General features: G+C 58.2%; 1 protein-coding gene across 6 annotated transcripts in view, besides 2 other annotated features; it reads left to right on the forward strand.

The window, feature by feature from the left end:
* The window catches only part of SLC38A12 (solute carrier family 38 member 12), a 63,255-nt gene extending 50,528 nt beyond the window's left edge, over positions 1–12,727 (forward strand). For 3 of the 6 annotated variants that reach the window (NM_017728.4, XM_006721963.3, XM_017024797.2), the window contains one exon: positions 8,901–12,727. In NM_017728.4, coding sequence (NP_060198.3) covers positions 8,901–9,661 — 761 coding nt within the window. In that variant the 3' untranslated portion in view covers positions 9,662–12,727. Of the gene's footprint in view, positions 1–3,035; positions 7,467–8,900 lie in introns of those variants that run through there. The other 3 variants (NM_001321264.3, XM_047436329.1, XM_017024799.3) reach the window with 2 other exon arrangements.
* Positions 1,166–1,666: an enhancer, noted in NCBI's record as "H3K4me1 hESC enhancer chr17:72824331-72824831 (GRCh37/hg19 assembly coordinates)". NCBI's record gives its function as "activates a minimal SCP1, AML or CMV promoter by ChIP-STARR-seq in naive H9 embryonic stem cells {active_cell/tissue: H9 hESC(naive)}" and the evidence as "EXISTENCE:reporter gene assay evidence [ECO:0000049][PMID:30033119]".
* Positions 4,235–5,155: an enhancer, noted in NCBI's record as "H3K4me1 hESC enhancer chr17:72827400-72828320 (GRCh37/hg19 assembly coordinates)". NCBI's record gives its function as "activates a minimal SCP1, AML or CMV promoter by ChIP-STARR-seq in naive H9 embryonic stem cells {active_cell/tissue: H9 hESC(naive)}" and the evidence as "EXISTENCE:reporter gene assay evidence [ECO:0000049][PMID:30033119]".
* Positions 12,728–13,277: the final 550 nt, after the last annotated feature.

Here is a 13,277-nt window from a genome sequence, read left to right on the forward strand (position 1 = left end):
CTGTTCTGACAGCAGCTTGACCTGGCCAGGAAGGCAGGATCACTAGTATCATCCAGTCCCCCTCGTTGGAGCACAAGGGGAGCTAGATGAGAACTCAGCACTGACACAGTTTTTTCTGCTTGCCTGGGAACTGGGCTTTCAGCAGGGGCAATGGGTTTCTGCAATGATAGAAGGCATGTGCAGCTTCCTGAGCGATTGCTGTGAGCCAGGTTTTACCAGCACGGCACTGCCCTGTCTCACTCCAACCCTTCAGCGTCCCTACAGTCATCTCCTTTTTTTTTTTTTTTTAGACAGAGTCTCGCTCTGTCGCCCACACTGGAGTGCAGCAGCACAATCTCGGCTCACTCCAACCTCCACCTCCTAGGCTCAAGTGATTCTCCTGCCTCAGCTTTCCAAGTAGCTGGGATTACAAGCATGGGCCACCACGCCCAGCTAATTTTTGTATTTTTAGTAGAGATGGGTTTTCTCCATGTTGGCCAGGCTGGTCTCGAACTCCTGACCTCAAGTGATCCACCCACCTCGGCCTCCCAAAGTGGTGGGATTACAGGCATGAACCACCGTGCCCGGCCGCATCTGCATTTTTAAAGGTGATAAAACAGTTTGCCCCAAGATTACACAGTTAAGTGGCAGATTCAGGAGCTGTGCCCAGTGTAACTTGGCCGTTTCCAAGCCAGGACTGTGTCCTAGTGTCGCTCACACCTCTAGGCTGCAGGATCCTTGGGCTCTTCTTCCACCTCCAGCCTGCAAATGTGGGTCTCCTTCTGCCGAGGTCAGTCCCATTATTTAAGGAACAAATGCCCAATCACCTCCCCCTGTTTTAGGGCCAAGAGGCTGGTCTCCAGTGGTTCTCTGCTCAGGCTGGTATTACGCACCCACCCCTTCCGAGGCCCAGCTAAAGCCAAGAGAGCCCTGCAGCCCGGCACCTTCCAAGGGCTAAGTGGTGGTGAAGGAGGGAGCTGGCGCCAAGTCCTCCCCTAGTCCTGTTCCCCGCCTGGAGTGCCGGTGCCTGAGCTGGTGATGGGCACACTGCCGGCCATTTGTTATCATTAGCCCTGGCATGTTGATTCTCTGCTTGGAAAAGAGAGTGCCGCTCCCAGACAGCCACCGTGACGGATGGCCTCCACCTCACAGTGTCAGAGCCAGAGCCACACATGGGGAGCAGGGAATGGCACGGGGCTTGGGGCGCCCTGACCTCAGGGACATCTGGAGCCAGGTTCAGAGGTCAGAGAGTTGTGGGAGCAGCTCTCCAGGAAGCAGCCCTGCCAAGGCACAGCTCAGCACTGGCGTGTGGAAAAGGCCTGGGGGCCCATGCCTGGAGGAAGACCCTTCACCCTTGGCCCTCAGGGTCATGGCTCTGAGTGTGTGTGCACAACTCGGACACCCAAAGGGATTAGGGAGGAGGAGTGTGCCGCGTGCGGTCTGGCCCTAGTGGATGCATGTCCTCATACTCCTCATCCCTTCCAGGCCCTGTAGAAGGGGATGAGCGGGCTGGGGGAGGGGGCTTCTGGGCAGGGACCGTTGGGCAGGGCCCTCTATGGCTCCCAAGAGCCTCTGTTCCAGCTCACATCCTTATGGAGATGTCCCTCTGATGGTGGCCCAGGACCACAGGCCAGTTCCATAGCACCCCAGACCCAGCCAGTGCCTCCCTCACCAGATCAGGCTGCCCTGGGGGTCACAGCCCGGGGGTACTCAGAGCCCATTTGTCCTTGGGCTTTTCGAGAAGGATTGGTGCAGCGTCTCAGCTCCACCCTAGGTCTTCAGCGTCCCCATGCAAATCAGGGCAGATGACAGGGTTAGAGTGAGGAGTCCTGGACCAAGGTTGGTGGCAGGAGGGGGAAATCTTTCAAATCCTTAGCATCTCAGGTGCTTCCCAGGTACGCACACATCCACACAGCCCATAGACCCCCAGCACAGGAAACCCCACTGAGACACCCATAGAAATACAATGCCAGCCACCTGGGGAAGTTTTTAATTTTTAGTAGTGACATCTTGAAATTCAGTTCATTTTGATAAAATACTTAACATATCAAAAATATCTTTCAACATGTAATGAAAAAAATGACAAGTGGGATACTTTACGTTCCTTTTCCACGCTAAGTCTTTTTTTTCTTTTTTGAGACAGAGTCTCGCTCTGTCACCCAGGCTGGAGTGCAGTGGCGCGATCTCAGCTCACTGCAACTTCTGCCTCCTGGGTTCAAGCAATTCTCCTGCCTCAGCCTCCCTAGTAGCTGGGACTACAGGCGCCCGCCACCATGTCCGGCTAATTTTTGTATTTTTAGTAAGGACGGGGTTTTGCCATTTTGGCCAGGCTGGTCTCAAACTCCTGGGCTCAAGTAATCCGCCCACCTCAGTGCTGGGCCACACACCAAGTCTTTGAAATCCAGTGTGTTTTACACCTGAGCACACTTCAGTTTGAGCCAGCCATGTTCCAGTGCTCAGGAGCCTCGGCCTCGTGTGGCCCTGGTGGTCAGCACGGCTCTAGATGCTTCTCGGTGCTTCTCTGTCAGAGCCCAATGGGTTTGTTGCCACCTTCAGGGAGAGCGTGGGCGGCATTCAGGCTGCCCAGAAGTAGCCCTTGCTTAATTCCAGAGCCAGTCATGGGGATGAGGAAAACAGGAAAGCCACCAAGACGGACTCAGTGCCTCAGCATCGCATGCTCATGGGGAAAGCTTCATGTGTGCCCCCAGAGCGGAGGTAGGGGCTCCTGGGATGGCTCTTTCTGCTCCACCCCTCCCCGCCCAGGCCTGGAGAGCTCTGGCCCCTGTGCCCCAACTCCAGTGGTGCCTGGGAAGGTCACCCAACTCTCTCCAGCCCCACACAGACCCCAGCATTCTGTAAGGAAGGCGGAGTCCTGCCCAGGCCTCACATGGCTCAGAGACCAAGGCAGCACTGCCTGGGAGGACCTGGAAGGAGCTCGTCCCTCTCCGTACCTGCAGCTCAGCCAGCCCTTATGTTGATGCCCAAGGGTGTGTGTTCAGCGCTGGAAGGAAGGGGCTCGCTACTGACCACTCTGATCTTTCTGTCCCTGCCCACAGAGACCGAAGAGAGGTGAGCTGGGGGTGCTGGTAGGACTCCCCGAACATGAGCATCAGGGCCCTGGGCCCCAACTCCAGACACCTACTCATCCCCATCTGGCCCCAAGAACAAGTCACCTTCAGCTGCTACAAGGGCTTGGCCCAGTCACGGCTTCATCCCTCCAATAAGGCCCCCTTCTTTCCCCAGGCCCCCAGGGTGAGGTTCCAGGAGGGCAGGGATATTCTGGAAGGGAGGGAGAGATGTTGACTTTCATCCCCTTATAAACCAGCGCCACCTTTGCCGTTTGGCAGGTGTTCAGAGTGGGTGGGCTCACCTGTCCTCCTCCCTGCCAAGGAGAGAGGCCGTGAGGACAGATGTGGAGGCAGTGCCTGCAGGGACTTCTTATCTGGCTGTTGCCAGGCTGAGGCTGTCTGGGGAAAGGCTGCTTCTCTTCGCTTCTCTTCTGACTGCTTTAGGAGCCTGAGGACTCGGATGTTATAAGAACATATCTTGATGTGAAATTGCTCCCTGACCGCCACGCTTGAGGTTGCGGTAAAGCCGATATTAACAAGAACCTTGGCTTGTCCAGATGCCCGTACACTGGATGTGCCTCCTGGCAGCTCAGTCCTTGTGTAAATTTTACTTCTAGCCTCCTCAGAAAGGGAAGGCAGGCACCTTCTCTGACTGGCCTCTGGCAGCTCAGGACTCGTGCCTGTTTTATCTCAGCTCCAAGACAATGACTTCCTGTGCCTTCGCTCTGTCTTCCTCACTCCCTCCCCAGGTGTCAGTGTGCGAGGGAGGGGAGTGGCTGTGGCCCAGGTGAATCAGTGTGGCGAGGCCTGCGTGTGGAGCTGAGATCCACTATCAGGATGAGCCTGTGAGCAGCCAGCAGCCTTGGCAGGCGACCTCGCGGGGCCTCAGTGAGGCTCTGCCTATGGGTGTCCTCGGGGGCCCCCCTCCTCGTCTCTACCCCGCATTGAGCTGCTCCTAAAGCATGAGGAGTCACAGCAGCCACAGACCTATAGGGTCGGAACGGCTCCGAAAGGTCCTCCACGTCCCGTCTGACACCTGCTTCCCCTCTGGGACCCCCACCACGTGCCTCCTTCCCTCAGGCTTGGCCGCCTCCCGCGACGGGGATCTCATCATGTACCCCACAGCTAGTGTGCCTGATAACCAGCCCGTTCTTTGGTTATAATTTGTCCCCTGTACCTTCCACCTGGACTCTGGTACCCTGGACTCTGGGCTCCAGAAGGACAGGACCCCTGTCTCAGTGTGCTGTCCCCAGATGGCCAGCATAGTGCCCAGCACCCAGGGGAAACTCAGTCCATTGTTGTTGAATGAAGGAATGAACAGTCCAGTTGGGCCCATGGGTGACACAAGACAAATGCGGTGGCTTTTGCGTTGGCTTTTACTCAGATATTAAGAGAGAAGTCTTCTGCCTCCCCTTGTCATTTTGTAGCTGAGCCTTCCGAGGCCCAGCAGCCGCTCGTGTGACCTGTGTCAGCCTCCTCCTCTGTCCTCCCCTCTGCCTCCTCCCAGCTTCTCACTGCTGCTCTCCACCACTCAGAGCGGGACTCCCAGTGTGCAATTGTGGGTGGATGTGGATGCGGATGTTCTGGGCACTGCCTGTGATAGGCTCTTGGGGAACTGCAGGCCCTGCTGGGGGCCGACCCCCCTGCACATCTGACTGTGAAGTCCTGGGTGTCTGGTCCTTAGCATGTCTGGGGAGCACTTTCTGCTCTGTCCCGCCTCCACACCCGTCTGGCTTCCCACGCAGCCTCCACGAGGTGGGCGCAGGCTGTCTTGGCGGCTGTGGCTGAGCCCCGGGCGTCGGTGTGGCTCTTGGAGCCCTGCTCCCCATCGCGCATCCTGGCAGGGTCTCCATAACCTGTCATCCTCGTTTCATCTTGATTTATGATCAGACCTAATGAGTTTTTGGAGCAGCTGTCTCCCAGGGATGTGGCGATCAATCTAGGAGATGGCTGTTGAACTTTGCTCCTCCCGCAGCCAGGGGAGGCAGGGAGGGGCCAGACAAGGGGGTGGGGCCACAGGAGCCTCGCCAGGTGGGCAGTGGGGGTTAAGCCTCGGGCCATGGTCCCAGGACTCTGCAAGGTCAGGGCCCTGACCTCCCCTCTGTCCCTCCCTTCCTCCCTTCCTTCCTCCTTTCCTTCCTTTTCTCCCTTCCCTCCCTTTCCTCCATCTCCCAGGGAAACGAGCTTCTAGATGGTGCTAGTTTCTTTTGAATTTGCTGGTTTGGAGACCAGGCTGGAACAGTTCCCTTCACTCTCCACTCCCAGGGGACAGATCCCAGCACCCGCCTTCATATCCTCATGGTGGTGCCGAACTGGAGGGCCCTGCCCCCTCCCCAGGTAGCTGGGTTCACCTTCTGCCTCAACTGGGGCCATTTCCACTGGGAAGCTGGTCCTCACCCCTGTTTTGGGGGCGTGGCTCTTCTAGAACCACCTGTCCTTCCCGGATATGCTCCTCACCATGGCGGCCTCTCCCCCTCCTGGTGTGTGAGCGCCCTGAGTGCAGGTCAGGATTCATGGGTGAATGACCCACCTCTGCTGGGTGCACACTCGGTCTGCTCAGCCCCAGAGCTGGTGGCATCTCCATGCAGCCGAGCTGCCACACAGCTGGGTGAGCTTTTGACAGCAGTGCAGGGTGTGACCAAGGGGAGTTCACGAAAGCCCACATGGCCCTGCAGCTGCGCCTGCCCCGTCAGGTGTTTATCCCACTTTCTAACACTCTGGAATCACCTCCCAAGAGCTTCTAGCATCTGCTTCTGACTCGTAGGCGGCAGCAAACATCCAGCCCACGAAGGTAGACTTGGTTTTTGCAAATAGACTTGTTTAAGACAATCAAAAGAATGAAATGGGTGACTAATCTAGGTAATCTAGGTAGTGGCATTACGAGGTGAAACTAATTATGGCTAGAAGATCATGAAATCCTTTTTTAATCACCCATATCCGTGGCTTGTTTGTTTGTTTGTTTGTTTTGATGGTGGAGTCTTGCCCTGTTGCCCAGGCTGAAGTGCAGTGGCACAATCTCAGCTCACTGCAACCTCTGCCTCCCAGGTTCAAGTGATTCTCCTGCCTCAGCCTCCCGAGTAGCTGGGATTGCAGGTGCGCGTCACCAAGCCCAGCTAATTTTTAGGAGAGACAGGGTTTCACCATGTTGCCAGGCTGGTCTCAAACTCCTGACCTCAGGTGATCTGCCTGCCTCGGCCTCCCAAGGTGCTGGGATTACAGGCGTGAGCCACTGTGCCCAGCCGCCATGGCTTTGTTCTAGCTGAAGGTTCTAGAAGTTGTTCTACATCATTGTTGGTGTCAAAGGTGCCTCTTCCCAAGACAGCTGCTCTGGAGGACGCCAGTTAGAAGGTGTATGTTTCAGGGGTGTATGTGTGTGTGTACAGCCGTCTCATTTCTTTGGAAACCTACTTTATAAATTGGTTTATTTACCATGAGGAAATCCCACAGTCAGGGCTGTAAGGAGAGCTAGCTGCCTTTCTTTGGAGATGTGAGGCTGGGGAGTTAGAGGAGCAGAGAAGCACGAGCTGTGTCCAGGGCAGGAGAGAGCAGTGGCAGGGATGCTCACGTCCAGACAGCTGACCTCTTCCTGCCTTCTTGCCTGCTTGCTCACCAGACCCAGGGCCCAGGGCCGAGTGACAGACAGCTAGAGGAATTCTCCACTTGCCTTTTTCTAAGTTCATGCCAGCCTTGGGCAGGGCCAAGTGCCAGGTCTCAAGGTGGTACCTCGAGATGGCAGTGGCAGTGCAGGATTTGAATCTTGCCCTACAGCAGCTGCCCCCATTGCCCTGACCCTTGTGCCCCACTTATGGTGGCAGAACAGTCTGCTGCAGCCTCCTGAATAACAAATCACCAGGTGCCCCGGGCCCAGTCTGGCCTCTGTACCCCCACCCCATCCTGCTCAGCTCTGCTCTGTAGCCCTTTCTGGCTCACAGGGACTCCGCCTCCAGCCTGTCTGCTCTCTCCCCGGTACCCCTCCTGCACATCCTGCCCTGACACAACTCCTGTGGGGTGGATCTCTCACATAGGCACAGCTGTGCACACCCCCCTCTACCCACCCGCAGAAATCTCTGGGGCAAGCAGATTGCTCAGGGTCCTGGGCTGTCCCACAGGTGTCCTGTGCCATCCACCCCCAGTGGGTGAAGCTGGAGGCAGCTCCCTGGGCTGAGACTGGAAGGAGGAACTAGGTCGCCGCTTCCGCTTGACTGACCAGGGTTGGGACGATTTGTGATGTCGGGGGAGGAGGAGTCCCCAGGCCCTCAGAGTCAGGAGTGGCGGGGACTGGAGCGGGCGGTGAGAGGCAGAAACAAATCATCTTCTTTACCGGCAATTTTCTCAGGCCGGTTTCCACGCTCCCCTCCTCCCCTCCTGTCCCCGACAGTGTCAGGCAGTTCTGATTAAAAGTAATAGATGAAGATTCCATCTCACTCCCAGTGTCATTGTGGGAAGACATTGCCTGGTTTCCTGTGGGTCCCATCAGAACCACCTCTTCCTTCCAGGAGTCAGGGAGTGGGCCTGGCCCAAAGGGGACCATAGGATACCCAGCCTCCCACCTGCAAAAGAGCCCTGGGGCTCTGCGGGGGGCCCCAGACAGGAGCCACCGAGCTGTGAGCTGGCCTCTTTGGCCACTGCCCCTTCACACTTGCCTGTGCTGCTCACCAGGAAATGTCACGTGTCCCCGTGGGCTTCACCTGAGGGGTGAGGGCACAGGCTAGAGAGGCTGTCAGATATGTTCTGAACAGAGAGAGCAGGGCTTGGTCAGCTTCAGAACAGACACGGACACTGGTGGTCTCCGTGTGTGAGTAGCTAACCACGGTTCTGGGTAGCCCGGAGAGCAGAAGCGGGAGACACAGAAAGATCTAAGAGTGCCATCTCCTCAGAGCACTGGGAACACAGCCCCTTGTCCCTGCGGTGCGCAGGCTGCCTCTGGGGAACTCAGCCTGGAGGGCGTGCTGTGAGCCTGTCTCCAGTGGCAGCCCAGGAGGAGGGTCACCGTAAAGGGCTGCGAACTGAAGCCAGCCTGGTCTCCATCAGCAACGCAAGCTGTTTGCTCTGAACAGATGGGGCCACAGGCCCCCTTCCACTTCCACAGAGGGTCCCCTGTCCCCTAGCTGTGCTGCCAGGCCCAGGAAAACAGAGCCACATGCCACCTGCCTCCAGCCTCGGTGTCAGCAGCTCAGGACTCGGCAGTCCGCAGCCTTGGTCCTTGATGCTATTTCTGCCCTGGCGTGACCACTGGCAACTTCCTGCCTGCCCTTGGCCCCTAGGCACTCACCTGTCTGCCCAGGGCTCCCAGCACTCCTGCCTGTCGGCCTCAGCTGTGTCTAGCAGATGCCCTCGGCCCAGGAGGACACCTCCTCCCAAACACTCCATGCCCTTCTTCGTCTACCCCCCAGCACTCCAGCCTCACATTCCTTAAACCAAGGGAGAGAGGGTGACCCTGTGTCCTGACCCAGCCTGCTCCCTGCGAGGAAGCTGGCAGAGCCCCTGAGAGCCCTGGGGGTCTGATGAGGGAGCCAGGCAGTGCCTGCCCAGGACTGGCCCTCCTCTAAGAAGACAGAGTTGCTACCTCTGCAAAGCCGGACCACCCTGCCACTGGCCCCACTGCAGCCCTGTCCCCACATACCCAGGCCCCCTGCTCAGCAGGGAGAGGGGAGAACAGGACAGAGAGGGATGCGGGACCTTCCTCTGATGAGCAGCCACTGTTGAGCCACCCAAGAACAGGGCTGCATGAACATGCATTTAATGACTCTTTCTCACAGGGCTCTAGTCCCCGCAAAGGCGCCCCCCAGACCAGAAACTCAAGGTAGGGCCGTGCCTGTCCCCACCAGGTGACTCCTCTCTCTCGTTTCCCAGCTTTCGCCGTCATGATTGTGCTGGCCCTGATCCGCATCGGGCACGGACAAGGGGAGGGGCACCCGCCCCTGGCTGACTTCTCGGGGGTCCGGAACCTGTTTGGGGTGTGCGTCTACTCCTTCATGTGCCAGCACTCTCTGCCATCCCTCATTACCCCCGTCTCCTCCAAGCGCCACCTCACAAGGCTGGTGTTCCTGGACTACGTGCTGATCCTGGCCTTCTACGGCCTCCTCTCCTTCACCGCCATCTTCTGCTTCCGCGGCGACAGCCTCATGGACATGTACACCCTCAACTTCGCGCGCTGTGACGTCGTGGGCCTGGCCGCTGTGCGCTTTTTCCTGGGCCTCTTCCCCGTCTTCACCATCAGCACCAACTTCCCCATCATTGCCGTGACCCTGCGCAACAACTGGAAGACACTCTTCCACCGCGAGGGCGGCACGTACCCGTGGGTGGTGGACCGCGTCGTGTTTCCCACCATCACCCTGGTGCCGCCTGTGCTGGTGGCCTTCTGCACCCACGACCTGGAGTCCCTGGTGGGCATCACAGGGGCCTACGCGGGCACCGGCATCCAGTACGTCATCCCCGCCTTCCTGGTGTACCACTGCCGCAGGGACACCCAGCTGGCCTTTGGCTGTGGGGTCAGCAACAAGCACAGGTCCCCTTTCCGCCACACCTTCTGGGTGGGCTTCGTGCTGCTCTGGGCTTTCTCCTGCTTCATTTTCGTCACGGCCAATATCATCCTCAGCGAGACCAAGCTCTGATGGCAGGACAGGCAGGTCTAGTGACAGGAGGCATAGGGGCCCCAGCCCCACCCCTCGCCCGCAGAGCCCAGATTTAGTTGCTCCCAGGTCTTCATGGGGCAGGTGGGACTGTGGCTCTAGGGGAAACCCCCTGTCCAGCTGGGGTTGTTCTCCCCACCCACCTTCCACCCAGTCTGCACCTGTCCTCACTCCCCCGGGCAGCTCTCCCACCAGGTCCTTCTGCCTGGGTGACGCGTGGCTGCTCCCAAGTTCTAAGACTCATTACTGGAATCACACCTCTCCCACATCTTCCAACACGCTTCACCCCCAACCCTACTTCCAGGGCGGGCTACTCCCTGCACAATGGGAGATGCAGTGCTGGCACTGCCATCATTTGTCCCAGACCCATGCCCCTCCCCTCTCCTGCCCCATCCTGCGTCCTTGTCTAAGAAACCTCCACTAGCAGCTGCTGCCTCTTCAGAGGCGAATCCCAGGCTGGAAGTATCCTAGCCAGGTCTGCCTGTGACGGCAGGGCCCACCCTCCCACCAGGCCTGGGAGGCGGTAGGTGCCACCTCAGAGAGGGCCTGGCTGGCCCCATGACAAGAACAAGAAGTGCTAACTGGTACCAGAGTCCCCAGATAGAGCTGCGAGGGCCCTCGCTGTGGGCGCGAGCTCCGGAGTAGCAGGCTGGATGGAGCATCCCTTCTACAGGGACACAGCCGCCTGCCAGCTGGGCCTAAAGTCTGGAGCTTGTCTCTGAAAGGGACCGTCTGCTGCCCTCGCTGCCCCACTGGAGCCCTCAGGGCCTCCTACAGTGCAGGTGGTCCTACTAGAGGGAAGCCATCCCCACCTGGCACCTCAGCGGCTTGGCAGTGACATGGCAGTGGGAGGGCTCTGAGGTTCCCACCCTGACAATGGTCAGGCTGCCCGTGCTCCCACTCCAACACTAAAAGCGGCTCCCTTAGGGGCTGAGCGTGGGTGCTCAGTGTTCACGCTATATCCCTTGGGCAATGTGGGGTTGGATGGGGCCCCCACTTCCATTCCCATGGAAGGAGGCCAGGTCCCCAGCCACCTCCCACTCAGCCATGCACGCACTTGCTGGGCTGGCCTCCTGGGAAACACAGGTGACTCGAATGAACTCTGCATTTTCAACGTGCCTTCTACTGCTTCAGGACCTGGGGGTCCCCCTGACCCTCACTGGCTTGCCCCCAGCCCTGGGCCTGGCCCCACCTGTCCTGGAGCCCAGAGCCCCTGGCCTGGAGCTACCTCTCTGGGGTGGGTCTCAGGCCCCACCCCTCCCTCTTTTGAGTTCAGTGCCTTGCTCAGCCCCTCCCCTGTATCTCAGCGTCTTCAGACCTCTGACAGAGCGACGATGTAGGGTCTCCCGGGGCCCAAGGTGGTCTCAGGGTCAGGGGTGGGATTTGCAGGGAACTCGGGGAGCCCACGGGCTGCGCCACCTCTGCCCTGGCAGCTGAAGCCTGGGAGAGTCCCTGCGTGGTGTAATTGGCCTCAGCCCGCTTTCTCTGTGCCGTCGCACCTCAGTGTTTCTCATAGCTTGTCCCCACGTGTCACTTTCCATCCACGGGAAAAACAAATGCCCCTTCTCCATCTATCATTGCGACTTCCTCCCAGGAGGCCTCTCAGGTTGGGTAGAGCAGGGGCCTGCAGTGGTCAGGCCAAGAGCAAGGAAGACCTGGCTGCCCCACTGTGGCTGAAAACTCAAAACATCTGGAACTACCCTTCTCCAATTACGTTCCCTCTTGCTTAAAGACAAAGCTAATTAAATCATCCTGCCACCCGAGGCTCCAAACCAAATCTTGGACGCAAATTCATTAGCTTCATAAAGCCCAGGTTGATTTATGTGACAGTCTGGAACCGCCCAGCCATGGAGTCGGTGGCCGTGTTCCCTGCCCTGGAGGGAACTGGCCAGCAGTGACCACATCGCTGATGCCAAGTGGGGACCCTCACCACTGCCGTTGTCTAGCTGCTTTGCTCCTCAGTGTCCTCCTGCTGTAAGTCAGATGAGGTCACCTTCCTCTCCATCGATGCCAGGCTTCTGCCGCTGACGGCCAATGGGGCTTGGGGCCAGGGGCAGAGAACCCCAACAGCAAGAGAGCCCCAGGTGATGCTGGCTCTCCACGTGCATCCGGCACGTTTCACTGCAGCCATCATCAACTTGGCAAAGTAGGCAAGCTCAGCTTGTGGTTTCCATTTTGCAGATGGGCCCCCGGGGTCAGTGATGGGAAGAGCAGAAGAGGATGCCAGCCCAGCCTGGCCCAGGAGCAGGTGTCGTTGTGGAGGAAAGCTTAAACTCAACAGCCTCTACCCAACATCTGCCACCTGCATGGCCCCAGATGCCCCCGGTGCAGGCCAGGTCAAGGTGGGAGTAAACTTTCTTTGCCTCCCTCCCCACAGAAGCACCAGACCCACCTGAGCCCCAGAGCCTCATGCCAGCAGCTCCTGGCTGTTCCTCACCTGAGGCTAGAGCAGCAGCTGCCAGCTTATAGATGGGGCGGATGGCAGGTGATAGACTGGGAAGCACTGCTGGGTGGTGGAGGTGGGCAGTGGCACCATGACGGGCCCCTAGCCACACAGCTGTCCTCACTACGGGGCAGGGAGCAGCCTCGGCAACAGGCAAAGGCCAGAGTCAGAGTGGTGGGGAGGACAGGGGCTGCTGCCCCGCTCCTGGAAAGCCACTGCAGAGGGGCAGTGGCTGGCAGTGCCAGGCCTGGGGGAAGTGGAAGCGTCCTGTCTGGGGGCAGATTCCCAAGCAAGGGTGACCCATGGTTAAGGGCCACTGGAAAGCTGGAGAGAGCTTGGGATCCCTTCCACCTGGGGCCAATGGTGTTGATTGCAGACTGGAGGGGTAACCTCCGCTGAGGGTCATTATGTGCCAGGCATGGCATTGGGTACTTTCTGCATTGGGACCAGGCAGCCGGGCCTGCCATTTGAGGCAGCGAGCCTCCGTGACCTGTCCTCCCTCATTTGTAAAGTGGGGTAACAGCTATGTCACTGGCCAGTTGTGGGGATTAAAGTGCTGAGCTTAGTGCCCAGCCCAAAATGCTCAATAAAGCTATTCAGTGATACCTGTTTCCCACATCACTCACCAGCCATAACTACTTGTAGCCAGGGACCCCTGACTCATTAGGACTCAAGACACCTACCTGGTTTCATAGCCTTCTAATGAGTTGTCGCCGGGTTGCAATTCAGAAACAGAAAATTGGTCTGAATTCTCTGGAGTCTAGAGGGCTTTGGGGATAGGGGTTGACTCTGGTTCCCCAGTCCCTTAGGAAACTTGAGGACAGTCCTCCCCTTTCAAAGAGCAGGACAGGCTAGGCTGGAGGGTCCTGGCTGAAGACATCAGCCTGCCCTTTTGCAAGCTCTGCCCTCCTCCCCCACACACACCTGGCTCCCTGCAGAAAGCTGGCTTGGACCACAAGCCGCTCAGCTAGACACAAGGAAAAACAGCTACAGCAGCAACAGAAGGGACCCCAGTTAGTAAGATTTTCCTGCTCTGAGGCCAGCCACAAGGGCCTCCCTCTTTCTGTACCTCACCCAAAGAAAAACAATGGTATTTGAGCATGTGGGTCGCCAGGCCCTTGTTTATGATGCTTTCACATCTATAGCCTTACTTCT

The sequence above is a fragment of the Homo sapiens genome, chromosome 17, assembly GCF_000001405.40.
Source record: "Homo sapiens chromosome 17, GRCh38.p14 Primary Assembly".
Classification (NCBI taxonomy): Eukaryota; Metazoa; Chordata; class Mammalia; order Primates; family Hominidae; genus Homo; species Homo sapiens.